We start from the raw sequence: 23,264 nt of genomic DNA on the forward strand, positions 1-23,264 counted from the left end.
AAGTCAAGAGATCAAGACCAGCCTGACCAACACGGTGAAACCCCATCTCTACGAAAAATATAAAAATTAGCTGGGCGTGGTGGTGCACGCCTGTAATCCAGCTACTCGGGAGGCTGAGGCGGGAGAATCGCTTGAACCCGGGAGGTGGAGGTTGCAGTGAGCCAAGATCGTGTCACTGCACTCTAGCCTGATGACAGAGCTTGACTCCGTCTCAAAAAAAAAAAAAAAAAACAAAAAAACAAAAAAACTGGAGAGAGAGAGAAAGAGAGAGACTGAAAGTTTAAAAAACTGAGAGAATACCTTATTGATATTAAGAAATAATAATTCATATTTTAAGGTGTGATAATGTTATTATATTATGGCTTTTTAAGAGTACTTATCTTTCAGAGATAGAGACCAAATTATTTGGATGAAATTATGTATGCTTTGCTTCAAAATAATTCAGGAAAGGTAGGAGAAGTGGGTTGGAGTATAGAAGAAACAAGATTGGGCATGAGTGATAATTGTTGAAGTTTGTTGATGAGTATATGAGGTTCATTAGACTTTCTATCTACTTTTGTGTATGTGTGAATTTTTCCATAATAGTTTAAAAAGTTATTAGTGATGAAAACACTAGTGAATGTAGGGAAGAGGTGTATATAAACCTTTGTCCTGAACAAGCGCATACAGTGTAATATTCTGAAGTTTAAGGTAAATTAAACTCAACTGTATTCATTTTTAGAATATGAGCTACATTATTTAATAATGTAGTTAAATTATTCAGTGGCAAGACAGATTCTAAAAATAAATGTAGAACTCATCAATTTTAAGTAATTCAAAATTAAAACAATAATGAGTTGCCATTTTGTACTTTTTCAAACCAGCAAATCTAAAAGAAAATGATAAAACAATTCCAGCAAGACTATAGGGTAAATAAATAATTGCTAATGTAAGTTAATTCAATCCTTTCCTTTTAGCTGATTATAAAGTAACATATATTGACTGTTGAAATATGATAGTGTGTAGAAAAGTAAACAGTATTTTGAAAGATAAGACTAACAGAAAGCAGATTATATTTCCTTCTAGGTTTAAAATGCATATAAACATTTTGTTTTAAAATAATTGTCTTGAAAAAATTACGTGCACATAAATTACTGGCATACTTCTTTTCTTAACACATCGTGAACATTTTTCATAACTGTTAATATTCAATAAATTTTTTATTTTTAATAGCAGCATATCACTTCACCACCTAGTTAACATTCCACTGCTGGACACTTCACTAGCTACCAGATTTTTGCTATTCAAAACGTGATTTCAGGCGGGGCGCAGTGGCTCACGCCTGTAATCCTAGCGTTTGGGAGGCCAAGGTGGGCGGATCGCTTGAGGTCAGGTGTTCAAAACCAGCATGGCCAACATGGTGAAACCCCATCTCTACTAAAAATACAAAAAATTAGCCGGGTGTGGTGGTGCACACCTGTAATCTCAGCTACTCAGGAGGCTGAGGCAGGGGAATTGCTTGAACCCAGGAGACGGAGGTTGCAGTGAGCTGAGATCGCACCACTACACTCCAGCCTGGGTGACAGAGCGAGACTCTGTCTCAAAACTTATATATATATATGTATGTATATACATATGTATATGTATATATACAAAACCTATATATATGTGTGTATATATATACACATGTCTCAAAACCTATATATACGTGTGTATATATACACACGTATATATACACATATGTATATACACATACATATGTGTATATATGTATACATATGTGTATATATATGTGTGTGTGTATATATATATATGATTTCAGTGATCTTTGTGCCTACATTTATTAGTTTCTCTGATTATTTCCTCAGGCTAGAATAAAATTCCTGAATTAAATATATTAATATTGTTTAAAGTTTTTTGTTTGTTTGTTTGTTTGTTTTTGAGACGGAGGCTCGCTCTGTCGCCCAGGCTGGAGTGCAGTGGCCGGATCTCGGCTCACTGCAAGCTCCGCCTTCCGGGTTCACGCCTTTCTCCTGCCTCAGCCTCCCGAATAGCTGGGACTACAGGCGCCCGCCATCATGCCCAGCTAATTTTTTGTATTTTTAGTAGAGACGGGGTTTCACCGTGGTCTCGATCTCCTGACCTCGTGATCCGCCCGCCTCGGCCTCCCAAAGTTCTGGGATTACAGGAGTGAGCCACGGCGCCCGGCTAAAGTTTTTGATACATATTAAAATTTCTGCCGTGAACATTTATGTGTCTGTTCCCAGAAGCAGCAAGTCGAAGCAGCACTTCTCAAACATTAATGTGTGAACTGAATCACCTGAGCTCTTGGTAGCATGAAGATTCTGATTTAGGTCTGGGGAGGGGCCCAAGATTCTGCATTTCCAACTAGCTCCCAGGCGATGCTGATGTTGCTTGTCTAAGGACCATACTTTGAATAGCAATGTAATAAAGAGCTTTACAAACACGTTGTAATTTTGGGCCGGGCGCTATGGCTCACGCCTGTAATCCCAGCACTTTGGGAGGCTGAGGTGAGTGGATCATCTAAGGTCAGGAGTTCCAGACCAGCCTGGCCAACATGGTGAAACCCCGTCTCTACTTAAAATACAAAAATTAGCCCGGTGTGGTGGTGCGTGCCTGTAATCCCAGCTACTCGGGAGGCTGAGGCGGGAGAATTGCTTGAACCCGGGAGGTGGAGGTTGCAGTGAGCCGAGATTATGCCGCTGCACTCCAGCCTGACCAACAGAGCAAGACTCCGCCTCAAAAAAAAACTAATTTAATTTTTGCCGCTACTTAACTAACACAAAGTCTTCTTATTCATTTGCCAACTTAATCAATACAAATAGATATATATTCATTAGATTTTCATTTCTTGGATTACTAATGATGATATACATACATTACTGTCCATATTTTAAATTTTATTTCGTTTCTGAAAAGCTGGATCATATATCCCTTGCTCATTTTTATACTGGGTATCAATCTTCTTTTTAATCAATTAGCACACTTGATACATTGAGCTTTTTAACACTTTATTATTTGTGTCACAATTCATTTTTCCCAAGATAGCTATTTGTATTTGCGCTTTGTAGTTTCTTGACTTACAGAAGTTTTAAATTTTGTTTTCAATATTTTTCTCAAACTATCTTTTCCTACAGAGTATCAGAATATTTCCCTATAGTCTTCTGTTTTATGAAATTATTGACATTTAGGTATTTAATATGTTTCCTGTTTTAATTACAAACGTAATACGTTTATGTGGCATATTTAGAACATACAGATAAGGAGAACCGTTGTTAACATTTTAGCATATTTTTATCTGGATTTTTCATATGCAAACATAGGTTCAAATATATATATGTATATATATATGTACATACATTGTTTATATAATTTTTAGAAAAATAGTCAATTCAAACTTTGTTCACTTGTTACTATACCACAACAATTAATCATCCAATGTCAGCAAATATTTATAGCATCAGCTTTAATGGATCTGTAGTGTCCCATCATTTGCATACACTATCATTTACCTAACCACTTCTCATATTTGTAGATATTTAGAGTTTCCAGTTTATGAACATTATAAAAAATACAGGGATAAGATAATTACAAGTGAATTAACATAATAATATTAGTAAAACTTTATATTGCACAACAATTTGCCAGGCACTATTCCAAGTGCTTTATACATTTTAAGCCATTTTAACCCTCACAAAAATGCATAAAGTAAGCATTATTTCCTCCATTTCCCAGAAGGGAAACTGAGGCACGGAGTGATTGATCACTGAGTTAGTAACAGACAGGGCCAGGAGTTGAACTGATGGTCTTATCGCCACATACTCTCTCAGTATACGACTATTATTCAGCTGGTCATTACAATTAGGACATAAACGTTTATATGGAGCCGTGGTTCTCAAAGTCAGGTCGGGGCACCACCTGAGGACTTGTTAGAAATGCGTATCAACTGGGTCAGAAACCCCACAGTGGGGCCCTGCAGTCTGCTTTGTAACACACCCTCCAGTGGTTCTGGCGCATGTTCAGGTTTGAGGAAGAGAACGTGGTAGGAAGAGCCCTCACCAAGGAAGCCAGAAAAGCTGCAGACTTTGCTGTACTTCAAGACTATTGTTGGAGGGCTTGTGTCTAAACCCAGGCAGATATGTTTTCTCATCTATAAAATGGGGACACAGATCGCCATGAGGGATGACGGGCAGTAGATTAGATGACTTCTACCATTCATTCAAGCTCTACATTTCTATGACTCTAAGGCCATGAAAACACCGTATACGATAAAGTTAAAAATAATTGTTAAAATTGTGCAGAACTGATTTATATCAGGGGTAGGAGAGGAAATCGGAAAGAAGTATAAAAAAGAGGTGGGTATTGTAGAATTCCATTTGTGATGTTTTGAAGCTAATTGTATAATGAATACACTTTTAAAAATATTGTCGTTAAACAGCACACTAACCACATTCTGATTTCTTTAGGTCTCTGAATTAAGACAACAGCTTCGAATTCGGGGCTTGCCTGTGTCAGGCACCAAAACGGCTCTCATGGACCGGCTTCGACCCTTCCAGGACTGCTCTGGCAACCCAGTGCCGAACTTTGGGGATATAACGACTGTCACTTTTCCTGTCACACCCAACACGCTGCCCAATTACCAGTCTTCCTCTTCTACCAGTGCCCTGTCCAACGGCTTCTACCACTTTGGCAGCACCAGCTCCAGCCCCCCGATCTCCCCAGCCTCCTCTGACCTGTCAGTCGCTGGGTCCCTGCCGGACACCTTCAATGATGCCTCCCCCTCCTTCGGCCTGCACCCGTCCCCAGTCCACGTGTGCACGGAGGAAAGTCTCATGAGCAGCCTGAATGGGGGCTCTGTTCCTTCTGAGCTGGATGGGCTGGACTCCGAGAAGGACAAGATGCTGGTGGAGAAGCAGAAGGTGATCAATGAACTCACCTGGAAACTCCAGCAAGAGCAGAGGCAGGTGGAGGAGCTGAGGATGCAGCTTCAGAAGCAGAAAAGGAATAACTGTTCAGAGAAGAAGCCGCTGCCTTTCCTGGCTGCCTCCATCAAGCAGGAAGAGGCTGTCTCCAGCTGTCCTTTTGCATCCCAAGTACCTGTGAAAAGACAAAGCAGCAGCTCAGAGTGTCACCCACCGGCTTGTGAAGCTGCTCAACTCCAGCCTCTTGGAAATGCTCATTGTGTGGAGTCCTCAGATCAAACCAATGTACTTTCTTCCACATTTCTCAGCCCCCAGTGTTCCCCTCAGCATTCACCGCTGGGGGCTGTGAAAAGCCCACAGCACATCAGTTTGCCCCCATCACCCAACAACCCTCACTTTCTGCCCTCATCCTCCGGGGCCCAGGGAGAAGGGCACAGGGTCTCCTCGCCCATCAGCAGCCAGGTGTGCACTGCACAGGTAAGAGCACCTTGCGCCATGCCTGGTGCACACTTCTTTCTGGAAGTGGGTTACAAATTTTCAACTGCTAAAGAGCTAATGTCAGAATTTTCAATGGGAAGGGTTTACCAAAAGCATAGCAGAATCTCCCAGACACTACAATCCTTGAATCCTCATGGTAGACCAAACTCACTCATCCTCTAAGGCAGGGGTTGGCAAACTTACTCTGTAAAGGGCGAGATGGTAAATATTTTTTGCTTTGCAGGTCACACTGTCTGTGTCATACCTACCCAATTTTGCCTTTGTTTCACAAAAGCAGCCATAGATATCATGTGAGCAAATGCACATGGCTCTGTCCCAATAAAACTTTATTTTAAAAAATAGTCAGTGAGCAAGACTTGGCTTGTGGGCTGCAGTTTGCTGACCGCTGTTCTCAGGATTCCCAGGATTCCTCGGTGTCCAACCTTATCATAGGCCAAACCAATGCCTCAAAGGTTTAAAGGGGAAATCATCAGATCTTACTCTTCATGTAATGGTCTGCATAGTGCAAACATTTACTGAGCACCTACTATGTGCCAGGCCCCGTTCTCATCTCTGGGACTTAGTGCTGAACTAGCCAAACAAAAATTTCTATTCTCATGGGAACAGAGACAGTTTAAAAGTAAATTAAACAATTTCAAAGTTAATTATGTACTATATTAGAAGATGACACATCTTATGGAGAAAAAGCAAAGAGGTGTGTGTGTGTGTATGTGTGTGTGTGTGTGTGTAGTTTGGAAGTTTGCAACTGTTTTTTTGAGATAGAGTCTCGCTCTGTCACCCAGGCTAGAGTGCAGTGGCGTGATCTTGGCTCACTGCAACCTCTGCCTCCCGGGTTCAAGCGATTTTTCTGCGTCAGCCTCCCGAGTAGCTGGGACTACAGGCGCACACCACCATGCCTGGCTATTTTTGTATTTTTAGTAGAGACAGAGTTTCACCATGTTGGCCAGGCTGGTCTCTAACTCCTGACCTCGTGATCCGCCCGCCTTGGCCTCCCAAAGTGCTGGGATTACAGGCGTGAGCCACCATGCCCAGCCGGAAATTTGCAACTTTAAATAGAAGAGCCAGGGACGTTTAGCAAAACCTTGAAAGCAGTAAAAAGAAAATGTCGTGGATATTTGGGGTGAAGGCATTGAAGGCAAACGAGAAATAGCACTTGCAGGGGCCCTGAGGTTGGAACTTGTAGGGACTGTTCAAGGATCAGAAAAAGGGCCAGTGGCCGGAGCAGAATGGAAGTGGTCATAGGAGATGGCTTAGAAGACTCACTAACTCAAAGACTAGGCAAAGGTGACTGACAAAGACTTTATGCTCATGAGCTGAAGAATTACTAGGAAAGCCTATGTAAGTCAAGTTGAGAAAGGTTACATTATCAAAAGGTTCTGACATCACCATTATTAGAAAAGGAATCAGAAGAAAACTTACATTAACTGAATACCTGCTAAGTGCCAAGCATTACAAGGCATGTCTATGAGTAATCTCAGTTATTGCCACAAGAAACCTATGAGCTCCAATGTATTATTCTTTATTTGTCATTGAGGAAAATGAGGCTCAGAGAGCTTAAATTAGTTACCCAGGATCACATGAACCCAAGATTTGTTAATTCTAAGTACAATGCCCTATTCAAGTGGAATATCTCCACCCCAAGAATGTGAAGTGTGGCAAAAGGTAACGAGAAGTAATTTTTACAAACCTACAGGAACAATGCATTCCAATGAATGATGTCTACTACCCCTGAGGGGCACTGTGGGAGAAATTAGGACCTAAAAAACTTATTGTCATAATTAACAAACATTTATTGAGTGTGTAGTGTCCTGGGAAACAAAGGTAAAAATAGCTCTTGAGACACAGCTCTGGACCAAAAATTTCAGTACTGATGATACTGCTGCTAACGTTGCACAGTGATTTATGGTTCACAAAGACTCTTTGAAGACATTAAAAATTTCATGATAAAATGATAAAGAACAGGCCAGGCGCACTGGCTCACACCTGTAATCCTAGCACTTTGGGAGGCCGAGGTGGGCGGATCACAAGGTCAAGAGTTCGAGACCAGCCTGGCCAACACAGTGAAACCCCATCTCTACTAAAAATACAAAAATTAGGCCAGGCACAGTGGCTCATGCCTGTAATCCCAGCACTTTGGAGGCCAAGCGAGTGGATCACAAGGTCAGGAGTTTGAGACCAGCCTAGCCAATATGGTGAAACCCCATTTCTACTAAAAATACAAAAATTAGGCCAGGCGCGATGGTTCATGCCTGTAATCCCAGCTTGAGAGGCTGAGGCGGGTGGATCACGAGGTCAGGAGATAGAGACCAGCCTGGCCAATATGGTGAGACCCCATCTCTACTAAAAGTACAAAAATTAGCCGGGCGTGGTGGCACGCGCCTGTAGTCCTAGCTACTAGGGATGCTGAGGTAAGGGAATAGCCTGAACCTGGGAGGCAGAGGTTGCAGTGAGCCGAGATCGCACCACTGCACTGCAGCCCGGGCGACAGAGTGAGACTCCGTCTAAAAATAAATGAATAAAATAAAAAAATAAAGAACAATATAGGTTAACAATGACTGATCTATGCTTACAACATTAAATGCTGGTGGGAGGGAGGGACAGATTGATTAGAAAGGGCTGGAAAGGTCCAGGAAGCTTTCATGAAGGGGTTGGACTTGACAGGAAGTGTCACGTTAAAAAGTAGAGGGCCAGGAAAGGGACAAGGTAGGGGGATGGAATGTACAGGGCATGCTGCCGGAGGTCCATGGCGGGAATAGTAGAACTTAAGCTTGCAGAAGTAAATAGCACCAAAGTGTAGAGTCTTGAACACCCATCCGGTTTGAAAGCGGAAATCCTATGATGTGGATACCTGGAGCCACTGGAAGTTTCTGAGCAGTAGGTGATGTCTAAAAAGCCAGATTTTAGGCAAGTTCATCTGGTAATGGAATTTAGGAAGGTTTGTAAAAATGACACCAGGGGACACAGGGCAGGAACCAGAATTGTCAGCAAAGGTCACACTCAAGTAAGCTGCTGCTGGCCATGTAATTTGTCACTTCTTCCTTTGCAGAACTCAGGAGCACACGATGGCCATCCTCCAAGCTTCTCTCCCCATTCTTCCAGCCTCCACCCGCCCTTCTCTGGAGCCCAAGCAGACAGCAGTCATGGTGCCGGGGGAAACCCTTGTCCCAAAAGCCCATGTGTACAGCAAAAGGTAGGCACCTGAAAAAAGGCCTCAACCTGGGATTCACTTTGCCTCTTCTCTCTTCTGTAACCCGGGAGGCAGAAGTTGCAGTGAGCCGAGATCGCACCACTGCACTCCAGCCCAGGTGACAGAGCGAGACTGCATCTCAAAAAAAAAAAAAAAAAAAGAATAAAATAAAAAAATAAAGAACAATATAGGTTAACAATGACTGATCTATGCTTACAACATTAAATGCTGGTGGGAGGGAGGGACAGATTGATTAGAAAGGGCTGGAATAGGTCCTCCAAAGTGAAAAATAATGAAGTTCCCTTTCAAGGCAGAAGTAAATTTCATTCTAGAGAGAAACAAATCCACTCCAAATGCATCTAAAAGGATGTACAGATATGAGTTAGAAGTTTTCCCAAGGAGTCATTTCCTGGGGTCATCCCAGAAATCATGATGACTAAAATGGCCATATGTTTGCAAAACAACTTGAACAGTAAACCAGTTTCTGTGAAGTTAAAGATTGGGATCAGGGTGTGTGGGAAACAACATTGGAGGAAGAGAGAGGGACACAGATCCATGGACAGGATTGGAGAGATGTGCAAAGCAGGGGTCACAGTGCAATATCTTTATGGAAAAGGAAGAGATATCACCCTTCAGCTGGTGGAAGAAGTCAGGGGTATGAAGGATCCAGGGTATGGAGAGTCTCAAGGGGCAAAGAAGAGGTGGCAGAAAGGAGACAAACAAGATAAGCCTGACATAAAAGTGCCACATACCACAAGTCGGAAGGGGCAGAGACCCTGAATTGGGCCAGGCACTCCACAGGAGAACACACTCAAAATAAACAAAGCTGGTTCATAAAGAGACCTCAGCAATGCCTCCAGCTCTCTGCAAAATACCCAGTTTGGAATAAATGACCTGTGGGGTAGATTAGTCTGGAAATTCCTGGGTTGATTATTTTTTATTTATTATTTATTTATTTTTGAGACACAGTCTCACTCTGTCGGCCAGACTGGAGTGCAGTGGCGCGATCTCGGCTCACTGCAACCTCCACCTCCCAGGTTCAAGCGATTCTTCCGCCTCAGCCTCCCAAGTAGCTGGGATTACAGGCGCACCACCATGCCTGGCTAATTTTTTTATTTTTAGTGAGATGGGGTTTCACCATGTTGGCCAGGCTGCTCTCGAACTCCTGACCTCAGGTGATCTGCCCACCTCGGCCTCCCAAAGTGCTAGTATTACAGCTATGAGCCATCACGCCTAGCCTGATCTGTTTGTATTGAATTGGACTGTTACTTATTTTCCCCTAAAATAAGAGGGTGCACCTTAAGGAGGAAAATAGATCTTGCAAGGTTGCCATTCTAAGACGCCACCACCAATGAACCCACAGTAGCATTCACTACTGTTAATATATGGGAGTTATTTTCTAAGCCCTGGACTTTTCTTTTTTCCTCTTAGATCAATTTTTCCAAAATTTAGCCTGTTGTTTCTAGAACAGAAACAACATAATTTCAGATCCATGAATTCAATGCCTTTCTTCATATTTTACCCATGCAGATGGCTGGTTTACACTCTTCTGATAAGGTGGGGCCAAAGTTTTCAATTCCATCCCCAACTTTTTCTAAGTCAAGTTCAGCAATTTCAGAGGTAACACAGCCTCCATCCTATGAAGATGCCGTAAAGCAGGTAACCATGTGATTTGTTCTTTATGGAAGAATAGACTGACTCAATGAACAGACATTGTTTGATATGATTAAACTTCACGCAGTTTGTAAATTCTGATATTGAGTGTGTCATGTGCCATACCACCAAAATAAGCAAATTATCTAGACAATAATTGGAAAACAGTGTTGCATGTGTAGCTGTGTGAGGCAGGGAGAGAAGAGGGTCACCTGTCTGGCTTTGGTACCAGTTCTGCCATCTGCCAGCTGCCACTGTCACTAAGGTGAATACTTCACCTCTCTTATGCAAAATAGGGATAATATTTACTTGGTAAGGATTCTAGATAGCCTCGCACTTACCACATTGTTCAGGCACATAATACCTTCTCAAATAGATGAGAGTGACTGTCAGGGTAATACTTCCTAAGGTTCTCCCTGGCTTTAAAATTCAGTGACCCTGGCAAAACACTGACGGGTATTGAAGCTGGATAATAAATGCAAGGAGGTTCACTGTATCCTCTACTTTCATTTGGATTTGGAAAGTCTCAAAATTAAAAAGTAAGAAAAAGAAAAAACAAGGCTGGGTCTGGTGGCTCACACCTGTAATCCCAGCACTTTGGGAGGCCAAGGTGAGTGGATCACCTGAGGTCAGGAGTTTGAGACCAGCCTGACCAACATGGTGAGACCCCATCTCTACTAAAAATACAAAAATTAGCTGGGTGTGGTGGTGTGTGCCTGTAATCCCAGCTACTCTGGAGGCTGAGGCAGGAGAATTGCTTGAACCTGGGAGGTGGAGTTGCAGTGAGCCGAGTTTGTAGCACTGTACTCCAGCCCGGGTGACAAGAGCAAAACTCCATCTCAAAAAAAAAAGAAAAAGAAAAAGAGAAACAATTAATGATCCCCTATTTCAAATAGTCTGAGCTTGGATAAGGTATTCGATAGCCCTTCATATGTGCTCAACCCAGAGAAGAACATTTACATCAATTGCTACATATGGGTATCCCACAGATCAAAGTCAGCCTGCAGTTAAGTTTTGTTTGGCTTAAAGAATGTTTTAAATAACAGGAGATGGTATGCAGAGTGGGCTTTCTCATTTCTAAAAAATTAGAGGATCTGGCAAACCAGGAGCCACACTGCTGCGAGACAACAATTGCCTAAACCAAGGTTCTTTTGCTACTTTGAGCCACAGCTATGCTCTGCTCTCTGCCTCTTTTTCTTATTCTATATTCAGTTCATTTCCATTACCTGCCAGACCCTTAGGCATCTGGTACCTTCTGAACTGATAAATGACTCATTTTTTGGTCAGTGCTCCCATCCATATTGATTACCGATACCTATGTTTATTGAGTCTGGGCTCTCAGAGGAGTGAGATGGATATATGCCTTTGTTCTCCCCATTCCTCTCCCCTGGTTTCTGTAAACATCAGCCGATTCTTCAGTTTCAAAAGAAAAGGGCCAGGCAAAGTGGACATCCAGAAATAAGACTCTACTGAGATGAGCCAGAGAGGAGGGGGCATACCCTACTGGTGTCTACAGGTTCCTCAAGCTACTGCCATGAGGAACCATCAAAATATGAGCCAAGTTCTTGAGCCACATTGGAGCAACCAAGCAAGAGGTAGATTCAGGTCACTTCAAAGTAAGAGCGTAAAAAGACATTTTCTATTTATTAAGATGTCCTGCTCCTGGGATGAAAACCCCTCAAACAACTGAACCGACTCTAAAGTACCCTGTGCTAGAAAGCATTCTGCCTTCTTTTTCCCTTCTCCTGTTGTAGTAGACTGTTTCATTCAGTAGATTATCTGCCTAAAATTACTACTGAAGCTTAATCAGACATGGTTTAAAAATTTTTAGGCAATAGACCTATGTTCATAGCAGCATTATTCACTGTAGCCCAAAGGTAGAAACAACCCATATGTTCATTGACAAATGAATGGATAAACAACATGTGTTATATCTATACAATGGAATTTTATTCAGTCTTTAAAAAAAAGAAATTCTGACACATGTCACAACATAGATCAACCTTAAGGACATTACGCTTAGGGAAATAAGCTAGTTGCAAAAGAATAAATACTGTACGATTCGCTTCTATGAGGGACTTAGATAGAATAGTCAAATTCGTAAAGGCAGAAAGGAAAATGGCGGTTGCCAGGGGCTAAAGGATGGGGTGTGGGAAATTATGGTTGAATGGGTACACGATTTTAGTCTTGCAGGATGAAAAGAATTCTGAAGACAGATGGTGGTGATGGTCACACAATTGTGTGAATGTACTTAATGCCCCTTAACTGTACACTTAAAAATGGTTGATAGTAAATTTAAAGTTATGTGTATTTTGCCACAATTGGAAAAAAAAATACCTTGACCAAACCTAGTTCAAAATCTTGCAGTGCTGCTTCTAATGATTTCCTACGGAGATAACCACCTTCTAAATTGTCTGTCCTCCTTTGGTTAATTTGTAATAGCAAATGACCCGGAGTCAGCAGATGGATGAACTCCTGGACGTGCTTATTGAAAGCGGAGGTAAGACTGCCTGTGTCCTGTCCATTAGGACATTCTGAGCCCACATGAACTCTAAGGAATGAACTCTCGGTACCAAGATCAGATGCACACTGTGAGTTGGATGTACCAGGTAGTCCTCAGGGAGAGCCATTTCCTTTGAGCTTCTCGCACATTTTTAGAGCTGATAAAAGAAGGCTTAGTGGATGATTCCTCACTGCCTTTGTCCTAGGAGCATTTTTCAGCAATCATTTTAATAGTTTTCATGTTTCAGCCTAATCCTTGTTTCCTTAAGTGTTTTCTCTTGCTGCACTTCTTCTTTCTATGTTCTAATCTCAATGCCCCTACCTTCTCAATTATAATAAAAGAAAAAAGCAGATAATGAACATTTTGTGCTACCTACTCAAAGTGAAATTCAATTAGCAACCTTCCACTGGATGGTTCATTCATGCTTAAATGTTATACATGCTAGCAATAAAACATAATCAGCATGTTCTTTTTGTCACCTTTTAATTTGTTCATTTATTTACTTAAAAAATTATGGAGTGTGTACCTAGAATTTTAAACCACACAAATGAATAAGATGACCTAAGGAGCATGTGTAGATCAAAATAAAAGCACTCAGGGAGGAATCCTTAAGCCAAAAACATTTAAAATTTCAGAGACGGAGGTAGCAAAGGACTCAGAGAAGGGGTAGCCAGGCGTTGTCATAGTCTCCGTGCTATGATCAGACAAGATCCTGATTCCTATGGAGTTTACAGTCTGGTAAGGGAGACAGACAACAAGCAAGTGAACAGACCTTTCCTCCATTGTAGCAAGAGGGAAGAAGGAAGAGATGGGTACAAACATATGTATGTAAATGAGTTCTGTAATGGAAAGATGAGAAGAGTTCATATCAGATGCCCATACACACACACACACACACACACACACACACACACACACACACACACATTTTTGAGACGGAGTCTCACTCTGTCGCCAGGCTGGAGTGCAGTGGCGGGATCTTGGGTCACTGCGACCTCCGCCTCCTGGGATCAAGCGATTCTCCTGCCTCAGCCTCCCAAGTAGCTGGGACTACAGGCGCGTGCCACCACGCCCAGCTAATTTTTTGTATGTTTAGTAGAGACGGGGTTTCACCATGTTGGCCAGGATGGTCTCAATCTCTTGACCTCGTGATCTGCCCACCTAGGCCTCCCAAAGTGCTGGGATTAAAGGCGTGAGCCACCACGCCCAGCCTGCCCTTGTATATTTTTAATGAAATATGTGGCAAGGCCAGAAAAGCGTGAGGATGCAGAAGGGGAGTGTGGAAGATTCAGGGGAAGAAGAGCAGTTATGACTTAATCATGAATGAACTGAGTTTTCTGGAGAAACACAGCTGGGTTGTTTTGCAGTCTTAAATGCCAGTTGTAGGTCTGACCTCAGAAATCTAAAGTGAAACCAAGTCAGCTTAGTTGTTTAATTTTTCTCTTGCAATGTTCTGCTGATCCAGAGCATGCTCAGCGAAGGCAGATGATCAGGTTCCTCCAGGTGTGGGGTTCTGCCAAAAATACAGGCTAGACAAGGAAAGAAGTGAAGACCAGAGGGGCTGGTGGACAGTGATAACATAGTAGAGTCTATGGATTAGTGTGACTGTAAATGGTTGGGAAATTATTGTTACAAGGTACATAATAAGTGGCTTGGAGGGTTGGGAGAGGATGGACAGAGAATAGAAAATATAGCTTGAAAGTGAGCTTTCAGAGGGATGCAGTATTTGGAGATGACACAATCCAAGGTGTGTCTGACAGAGTGGCAGTGGGGGAATCACTGGAGTTGAGGAGGAAGTCGGGAGCTCAGAGGCCAGCATGAACACTGTGATTTCCAAGGATGCTCAGGTTACAGAATGAGAAGGGTTCAAGTGGGGAAAAGGCAATGGAGTAGGAAGCAGAGTTTTCAGTAGATGAGGGGGAGTGACCAGGAGGCTAGGGGTGAGGCATTGCTGTCACCCTCAAAACCCAAAACTGCTGAGTTGTCATCAGAAGCGGGGGGAGTAGCAATCAGAAAGTGGCAATGGCATGGCGCCTGGTCCCTCATCTTCAGGCCCTCACTGATGGTGTTGGGATGGACTCAGTGTCCTCAAGGGACTACCAGGGGTCAGAGGAGTAGGCCAGGAACCTTCAGAGAAGAGAGTTTAATAATCACAGAGTGGAATTCCCAAGAGGAAAGGGTTTGGGAAAAACCAGAGGGAAGATGAATTGGAGATTGATAGAGCAGCTTAGAGATGAGACTGGGTGGTGAGCGGTGACCAGGGAAGCGTGGCCATCTTCTGTATCTAAGTGTAACTCACTCATATTGTGTGGCATGCTCAATTTGAAGTGATTTAACAAGTCACATCGTGTATTGCCCACAGAAATGCCAGCAGACGCTAGAGAGGATCACTCATGTCTTCAAAAAGTCCCAAAGATACCCAGATCTTCCCGAAGTCCAACTGCTGTCCTCACCAAGCCCTCGGCTTCCTTTGAACAAGCCTCTTCAGGCAGCCAGATCCCCTTTGATCCCTATGCCACCGACAGTGATGAGCATCTTGAAGTCTTATTAAATTCCCAGAGCCCCCTAGGAAAGATGAGTGATGTCACCCTTCTAAAAATTGGGAGCGAAGAGCCTCACTTTGATGGGATAATGGATGGATTCTCTGGGAAGGCTGCAGAAGACCTCTTCAATGCACATGAGATCTTGCCAGGCCCCCTCTCTCCAATGCAGACACAGTTTTCACCCTCTTCTGTGGACAGCAATGGGCTGCAGTTAAGCTTCACTGAATCTCCCTGGGAAACCATGGAGTGGCTGGACCTCACTCCGCCAAATTCCACACCAGGCTTTAGCGCCCTCACCACCAGCAGCCCCAGCATCTTCAACATCGATTTCCTGGATGTCACTGATCTCAATTTGAATTCTTCCATGGACCTTCACTTGCAGCAGTGGTAGAATGCCCAATGCACCAGTGCTATGGAAGACCAATGGAGTTCCATGGGGGAAAGCACACAGCCATACATACTTTACTGTCCAAAAACAGAAGAAGAAGAAGAGAATTAAAAAGAAGCAATGATTTCTGTGCCAATGAACAAGAACAAAAGTCATTTTTAGAAATACATATACTGTAATATTTACCAACAGTCAGTAACTGTTAATGATTTCAACAATGCATTAAAAGAATGTGCTTTCTCAGATTAAGGATGCCAAAAAAGATATTTCACTGCCTTTTCAAAGACCAGTATATTTTCTAGCCCATAATTTTTCTCAGGCATTGTTGGGGCATAAGCTCACACTGTAAGCTTTTCTCATGAATTCACTAGACATAACGTGGAAGGAAAACGTAGTCTTTTGGGAGTACAGGGAAGCCAGCCCCTCAAAGCTTATGGAAGACATACCTGCAATGGAAGCTGTTGCCCAATGTCTCCATTACTATCTTTCAAAAGAGAAGCCAGACCCAGCTTCAGATCAAAAGTTCTTGAGACAGAGGAACAAAACCAATCGATTTCCAGGGAAGCTAATCAACTCTCTTTTCCCTCTACCACAAAACTGCCCTGCTGGAGTGGTTCTGAACCTGTACCCAGGACTCGATGTGGTCACTAATAACAATTAACCTGAACTGAGTCCACAGAACTCCACTCGGAACTTTCTTCTTTTTTAACTAGTGGCCCAATCATTCCCACCATCTCTGTGCTGATAAGTACGTGTCCTAGATGAGAACCCTGAAGAATGCAGACCTTCTTCCCCCGAAGGAGATGCCACAAGCTCTCCAACACAGCCCCCTTTAGTTCCAAAGACTAGAGATGACCACATTGGTAGAAGTATATCTCGAGGCACAGGAAGGGAGCCCCACCAGGGATAATTCAGACAGGACTAGAGAATAACATCATTTCACATACCCTGGGATAAACACCCTGGGTTCCTATAGAAGGACTATTACTTATGGGAGTCCAACTTCTCCTTTTGTTTTGTTATTATCAGTTTATCTTTCTCCCACTCCACTTTTCCTTCAAGGTACCAATCCTTTCCTGTTCCTCGTTTGGCCATCTTTCTTTTTCTGCCTCCACATTGGGAGGGGAGGACTTCTCAGTTCTAACAAGCTGCCATACTCCTAAGAAAGCCATTTTTGAAAAATTTAACAATCCAGGTTCTTCTGGAGAACTCATTCTCCACACGCACAGTTTGCTGCAAAAGGAAGTTGCAAGAATTTCTTGAGGAAGAAACTGGTGACTTGGTCCATCAGTCACGAAGTTCTTTCTATTCTCGTTTAGTTTTCAAGAAATTATTGGTTTGTGTTGCTCTGGGGAAATTGGAAATCATTACATTGTAAAGACAAATATGGATGATATTTACAAGAGAGAATTTCAGATCTGGGTTTTTGAAAGAAAACAGAATTGCGCATTGAAAACGATGGAAGGAAAAAGACAATGGTCTAATGTGCATTCCTCATTACCTCTCGTGGCTTTGGCTGGGAGTTGGAAAAAGCTAAAATTTCAGAACAGTCTCTGTAAGGCTCTCTGTGGCTCCAGTTCACCATTTTATATTGTTGCATGCTGTAGAAAGGAGCTATTGCTGTTGTTTTGTTTTTTTATTTAAATCACTAAGGCACTGTTTTTATCTTTTGTAAAAAAAAAAAAAAAGTTGTTCACTGTGCACTTATAGAAAAAATAATCAAAAATGTTGGGATTTTAGAAGCTCTCTTTTTGATAAACCAAAGATTTAGAAGTCATTCCATTGTTAACTTGTAAAAATGTGTGAACACAGAGAGTTTTTGGTGATTGCTACTCTGAAAGCTGCCAGATCTTATTCTGGGGGTGGGATGTGGAGGAATACACATACACACACAAACATACATGTATGTATAATAGATATATACATATGTGTATATTATATCTGTGTGTGCATGTATCTCCAAAAGCGGCGTTACAGAGTTCTACACCAAAAGCCTTTAACCCTTAATCTGCTGTGAATGATACCTGGCCTTTCTCACTATGAATTTCTGATTAACCAACCAGACTACACGTTGCCTCTCTGTGTATGACTAACGGCTCCAACCCGATGACTCACAGCTACTTGCTTATCGTGAACAAGCTCATCTTGGCAATGAATATGGATGTGAAAAGACAGAACAGCTTCACCATTAGTAGCTGGAAATGGTATCACAGTCTCTTATAGAGGAATATGAAAGGAACAAGAAAATCATTTTACATTCCTTTTATCTGTATTGTGCTTTAAAAGATCCACATGGTAAATTTTTTATTTTGCTTTTATGTCAGTCATCAGAACCAAAAAAATCCAGAAGAAAAAATTGCCAGTGTTTCCTTTGAAGATGAAGCTACTGGGGAAGAAAACCTTATTAATACACTCCACACATTTGTTCATTCCTCAGCTGTTGGTGTTTTCTTGGGGTCTTGACAAAGCTTGCTGGTCAGTGCACTTTTCAGGTGTCACGTTTTGCTGTTTGTATGTTTTTTCTTCCCCTTACTTCCTTTGGAAAACAAACTCACACAGTGCCCCTACTCTGAGACCTGGGACTGAGTGTTAATTATTTTTTCCTTGGGTATTTCTATCTGAGAGACTAGACCTAGTTAGGAGGCCTCTGTACTTCTCCAGATTGTACCTTTTTATGGGGATCTTTGAGGCTATGACCCAGGACTGATAGATATGCCTTACGGAAGACAAAAGATAAAATGGTTCCTATATCCTAATGCAAACCAACACAGTTAAAAGAGCAGATCTCTGGATAACTGCTCTCAACCTGCTTCTACAGTCTCCACAAACCGCATTCACCCTCTCTCTTCATAGCTCAGACATGAAATTTGAGGGAGAAAACTGGAGATAATTGGGAGAAAATTGATGAAGTTGGCTGCTTCCAGTAGATCAGATAATCCATGAATTTGTCTCCCATTGAGAATTTTATTTTAAATTCTTTTAAACTCTTCGTTGTGTCTTTTGTGATGACAAATCAGGCATGACTAAAAGATGTACAGAGACTTACGAAGATGGTCACATTCAAGTTCCCTAATGCTCTTAGAACCTGAAGATGACCATGTGTAGTTTTCTTAAGACCTCTGAACCCCCATGGTGATGAAGACTTGAAGACATTTGCAGCTATCTGCTGCAGTCTGGTAGATTCATACTTATCTAAAGAAGTCAAAAAATTTATTCGTGCAAGTGCTTGCAGGAAGCCAGTGCTTATTAGTAGTGACCCTGCTTCTATCAACGTTATTGAGACAACACATATTCTATTCTAAGGGAGAAAGAGGGAGGAAGAGAGGGAGGGAGGGAGGAAGAAGAGGGAGGGAGCGAGGAAGGAAGATAGGAGATGGGTAGGGGGGTAAAGAGAAAAGGAGGGAGAAGGGAAGGAAGGAAAGAAGAGAGGAAAGAAAGGAGGGAAGGAAAAAAGGGCCAAACTTTCTGATCTATGAACTTCTCAGTTCAGCTGTCACATTATGAGAAGTAAATCAGAATTTTTTTAAGGAGAAGTCATTCTTAGCACTACAATAATTGTACCAGTAATTGAGGAAACCAAGACAATCTTCACCTGAATAATAGAGGGTCTGAGAACTGTCAGCCTTTTGCCATTCAAAAACATTTATGTCCAACCTGAAAAAAAAGCATCAATAAAACCTATCCCAAGCATTCAAAATAGTCCTTTCCAAATGTTATTTATTTTAAAGTCAATCAGCTCTTTTAGAAACAGATTCTGGTCTGGCTGAAAACTCCCACAACAAATTTACTCATCCAGTGGCTAATATTTAATGCCCACCATGGGCAGAGCACACAAATCTTCAGATAAACAATACTGAATTGATTCAGCACAGATTGTTCAGATTTGAATGACCAGGGAGTTGTATTTGCACATGCAAGAACACTAAGAATCTCCCAGTCCTCAAACTAGAAACCTTTCAGCTACGATGAAAAAAAAAAAGGGGTCTTCATTTTTCCAAGAGGGGGTGGAGGTGGGGATCACTTTTTAGCTAAAAGCTATCTCTCACTTCAAAATTCTTGTCTTTTTCTTTGTGGACAAACACCAGTAGTCTATCACTTGGAGATCTTTTAATATCTCCCATCATTTAAAACATCCACGAGAGTTTGAAGATTTGTGTTGATTGCCAGATACAGAAGCCCCTTGAAAATAAGGAAAGGGTGGAGGAAGCATTTTTGTGTCCTATCCCTACTTATCGTAGCAGCTCTATAGACAAAAGGGACACTTACTGGTGAGCCTCTGGCCCTTAAAAGAAAATCATCTAAGAATATGAAGGCAATTTGATTTCCCCCCACAGCCCTCAGCTGCCTTCCTCACAGAAGGAAGTTCCCAAAATTGCTGGTACACAGTTTGCAATCAAATATCAGATATGAGAAAACCTGTAGTGAAGAGTCTGGGTTCTTGGTTTTCTCATAAATCCAATATAAATTTGTAGGTTGGTTCAGGGTCAAAATTGCCAGTGCTTTATTAGACAGATGATACTGATAGACACACAGAGCCCAGGTCCTGGAACAAGACAATCCTGTAGTGCCAAGATCTGGTCAGTTGCGTTAAGGAGCTGGGTTTGATTCTAGAGTCCAGGTTTATAGAGAAACCCTGGCTAGATTGAGCCTACCCATGGGGAGACGATTTCAAGACAGGATGAGATCTGGGAAGAATTTTGTTGTCATCTGCCAGGGAAATTATCACAGGACTCATTGAATGCAATAACATGTGAGTAAGTTCCCTTTTGATTCTGGGAATCAGCGATTTTCCCTGTGGATTAAGACAAACCAACGCCAGAAGGTCTCCTGTGCTTATTTTAACCATCTGCTCCCATCGTGAACCCTGGAGCATGCATTTCCTAGAAGTGGTTTCATAGCTCCTGTGTGTTCATGGAAAAGGGGAGTATAATGATGGGGATGCTGGAAGCTTTTTTAATGTTTTCCAAAGGAAAGGAACCCACACTGCTCCCCAGAGTTCCTTTCCAATGGCCCTGCAGTAAGAACGGAGGACAATGTATTGCTGGGTGCTTAAAATCCTCCCTCAGTGAAGCACAAAGAGACACTTTGTAAAGAAAAAAAGAGCAAGCATAGGTTCTCTGTGGGACCTTGTGGAGTGGTGTTTTCACGTTGGTCTCTTTGGCTCAATTGAGCATAATCAGAAAGAAATGTGGGTTATTGGGAAGAGACAAAAAGCAGTGGCTAAAATACCAAAGTTGGCATGTGTTCTTTTTTAAAAAAAAAAAAAAATGCATATATTTTTAAATAAAATGTTTATTTTAAAAAGAAATGTAAAACTTTTTTTTTTTCGTGGCTGTGTGATGTACCCAGGCCTTATGCTATGTACTATTTATATGTGTTATTTCCTTTTATTCCCACAATGGGCCCATGAAGTAGTACCATTATTATCCTCATTTTTGCAAATAAAGAAACCAGGCTTAGAGGATACGTAAATTGCCTAAAGTTACACAACTGAGAAATGGCAGAGCCAAGAGTCAGACTGTGATTTGCCTGCCTCCAAAGCCCGGATCTTAAGCACTGCACAAACTGTCTGAACTGATACTTACTATGGATCATACTAATACAATCAGAACTTTCGCAAAACAGATTCTCAAGCTATGTATATGCCCATTAAGATACATACATACATATACAACTTAGCGAATTCAATGTTTTCATCAGTTTAGTAACTGAGCAAGTTGAATAATAATGTAGGATAAACTGGGTATCAAGAGGCCTATATGTATAGACTTCCTGAATAAGACCTAGTTTTTAATCTACTTTTTCCTCTTAAATTTATTCCTGCCTATTATTTTGTCATTGGTGAACCTATTAACCACATAGGGGAAATATCAGACTGTGAAAAGAGCCCTGGAATGGACAAATGTCCCAAGCCCTGGTTTAGCTAAGAACTGATCTTTCTCCCTACCACAGCTCTCTCTGCCCCTGCGTCAGCCTTACTTTCTGGTGGGCTCTCCTATGTAGAATCAACAAGGCCATGGGTTGCCAGCAGCCCCACATGTAGCAATTCCAGCAACAAGAGAGTTTCTCAGTCCTGAGAATCCTAGCAGAAATCTCAGAGCTTGCTCTCAGTGGTCCCAGCAGGTCATGGTCATCCCTGAATCCGTATCTATGGCCATGAGAAGCGGATATAAATACATGCACAGGAGCTGGATACCCTGCTCGGCCCTGAGCTATGGAGTGGGATCATTTGAATCTCATGGACTGGCAGTAGGGAAGGTGAGTTTTTCTAAGGGAAAGTTGGGGTGCTAGTACCAAAGGGTGCTGAAAAAGCAGAAATAGTAGATTTCTATGACATAATTCCTACTTTCAGGAAGTTGCCATCTAGCGAGGAGACAAGAAAATAGGGAATAATGCGTAGTCTGATAATCGCATGCTATGTGCTACCAGAAGGGCATTTAATAAAGTCTTGGTGGGTGGAGGTGGAGGAAGGATGGATGGCCAGGAAGAACTCTCCAGAGGAGGAAGGCACTATGCCAAGACATTAAATGACACAGGAGTTAGGCAGGCAAACTGCTAAGGAAAGGAGCATTCCAGACTGAGGAAATAGCCTGTGCAAAGGCCTGAAGATTTAAGAGAATTGACAGTATTCAGGGGATGTAGATGGTAGAACAAGGAGGCAGGGGTGCCGCTGGCAGAAGTGTAGGAAAGAAAAGAGGGCCAGGGCTGTTTGAAGAAAGTACCACAGTGGCCGGGCGTGGCGGCTCCCGCCTGTAATCCCAGCACTTTGGGAGGCCGAGGCAGGCGGATCGTGAGGTCAGGAGTTCGAGACCAGCCTGGCCAACATGGTGAAACCCTGTCTCTACCAAAAACACAAAATTTAGCCCGGCGTGATGGTGTGCTCGGGAGGCTGAGGCAGGAGAATTGCTTGAACCCAGGAGGCAGAGGTTGCAGTGAGCCAAGATCGTGCCACTGCACTCCAGCCTAGGTGAAACAGCGAAACTCCGTTTCAAAAAAAAAAAAAAAAAGAACTACAAACAGGGTGGCCTCACAGTTCTGGAGGCCAGATGCTGGGAATCAAGCTGTCAGTGAGGTTGGTTCCCTCTGAGACTGTGAGGGAAGGAGCTGCTCCCGTTCTCTCTCCTTGGCTTACGGATGGCCATGTTCATGTCCACATGGCATTCTCCCTGTATCTCCGCATCATTTTCTCTCTGTATGTGTCTATCTCTGTGTCCAAATTTCTCATTTTTATAAGGATTCCAGCTGTCTAGGATTAGAGTCCATCCTAATGACTTCATTTTATTTATTTATTTATTTATTTATTTATTTATTTATTTGAGACAGAGTTTCACTCTTGTTGTCTAGGCTGGAGTGCAATGGCACAATCTCAGCTCACTGCAACCTCTGCCTCCCAGGTTCAAGAAATTCTCCTGCCTCAGCCTCCCAAGTAGCTGGGATTACAGGTGCCTGCCACCATATCCAGCTAATTTTGTATTTTTAGTAGAGATGGGGTTTCTCCATATTGGTCAGGCTGGTCTTGAACTCATGACCTCAGGTGATCCACCCGCCTCGGCCTCCCAGAGTACTGGGA

At 42.4% G+C, this 23,264-nt stretch overlaps 1 protein-coding gene and 1 long non-coding RNA gene across 6 annotated transcripts in view; one reads left to right on the top strand and one right to left on the bottom strand.

Moving 5' to 3' along the window:
- MYOCD (myocardin) overlaps positions 1 to 21,002 on the top strand; it is a 103,060-nt gene extending 82,058 nt beyond the window's left edge. For 3 of the 5 annotated variants that reach the window (NM_001378306.1, NM_001146312.3, XM_017025342.1), the window contains 5 exons: positions 4,467 to 5,399; positions 8,467 to 8,610; positions 10,138 to 10,266; positions 12,703 to 12,760; positions 15,126 to 21,002. In NM_001378306.1, coding sequence (NP_001365235.1) covers positions 4,467 to 5,399; positions 8,467 to 8,610; positions 10,138 to 10,266; positions 12,703 to 12,760; positions 15,126 to 15,697 — 1,836 coding nt within the window. In that variant the 3' untranslated portion in view covers positions 15,698 to 21,002. The remainder of the gene's footprint in view (positions 1 to 4,466; positions 5,400 to 8,466; positions 8,611 to 10,137; positions 10,267 to 12,702; positions 12,761 to 15,125) is intronic. The other 2 variants (XM_005256863.1, NM_153604.4) reach the window with 2 other exon arrangements.
- ARHGAP44-AS1 (ARHGAP44 and MYOCD antisense RNA 1) overlaps positions 12,187 to 23,264 on the bottom strand; it is a 30,151-nt gene continuing 19,073 nt past the window's right edge. The window contains exon 2 of the long non-coding RNA NR_104607.1: positions 12,187 to 15,771. This is a non-coding gene — a long non-coding RNA (ARHGAP44 and MYOCD antisense RNA 1). The remainder of the gene's footprint in view (positions 15,772 to 23,264) is intronic.

Source organism: Homo sapiens, chromosome 17 (genome assembly GCF_000001405.40).
Source record: "Homo sapiens chromosome 17, GRCh38.p14 Primary Assembly".
Taxonomy (NCBI): Eukaryota; Metazoa; Chordata; class Mammalia; order Primates; family Hominidae; genus Homo; species Homo sapiens.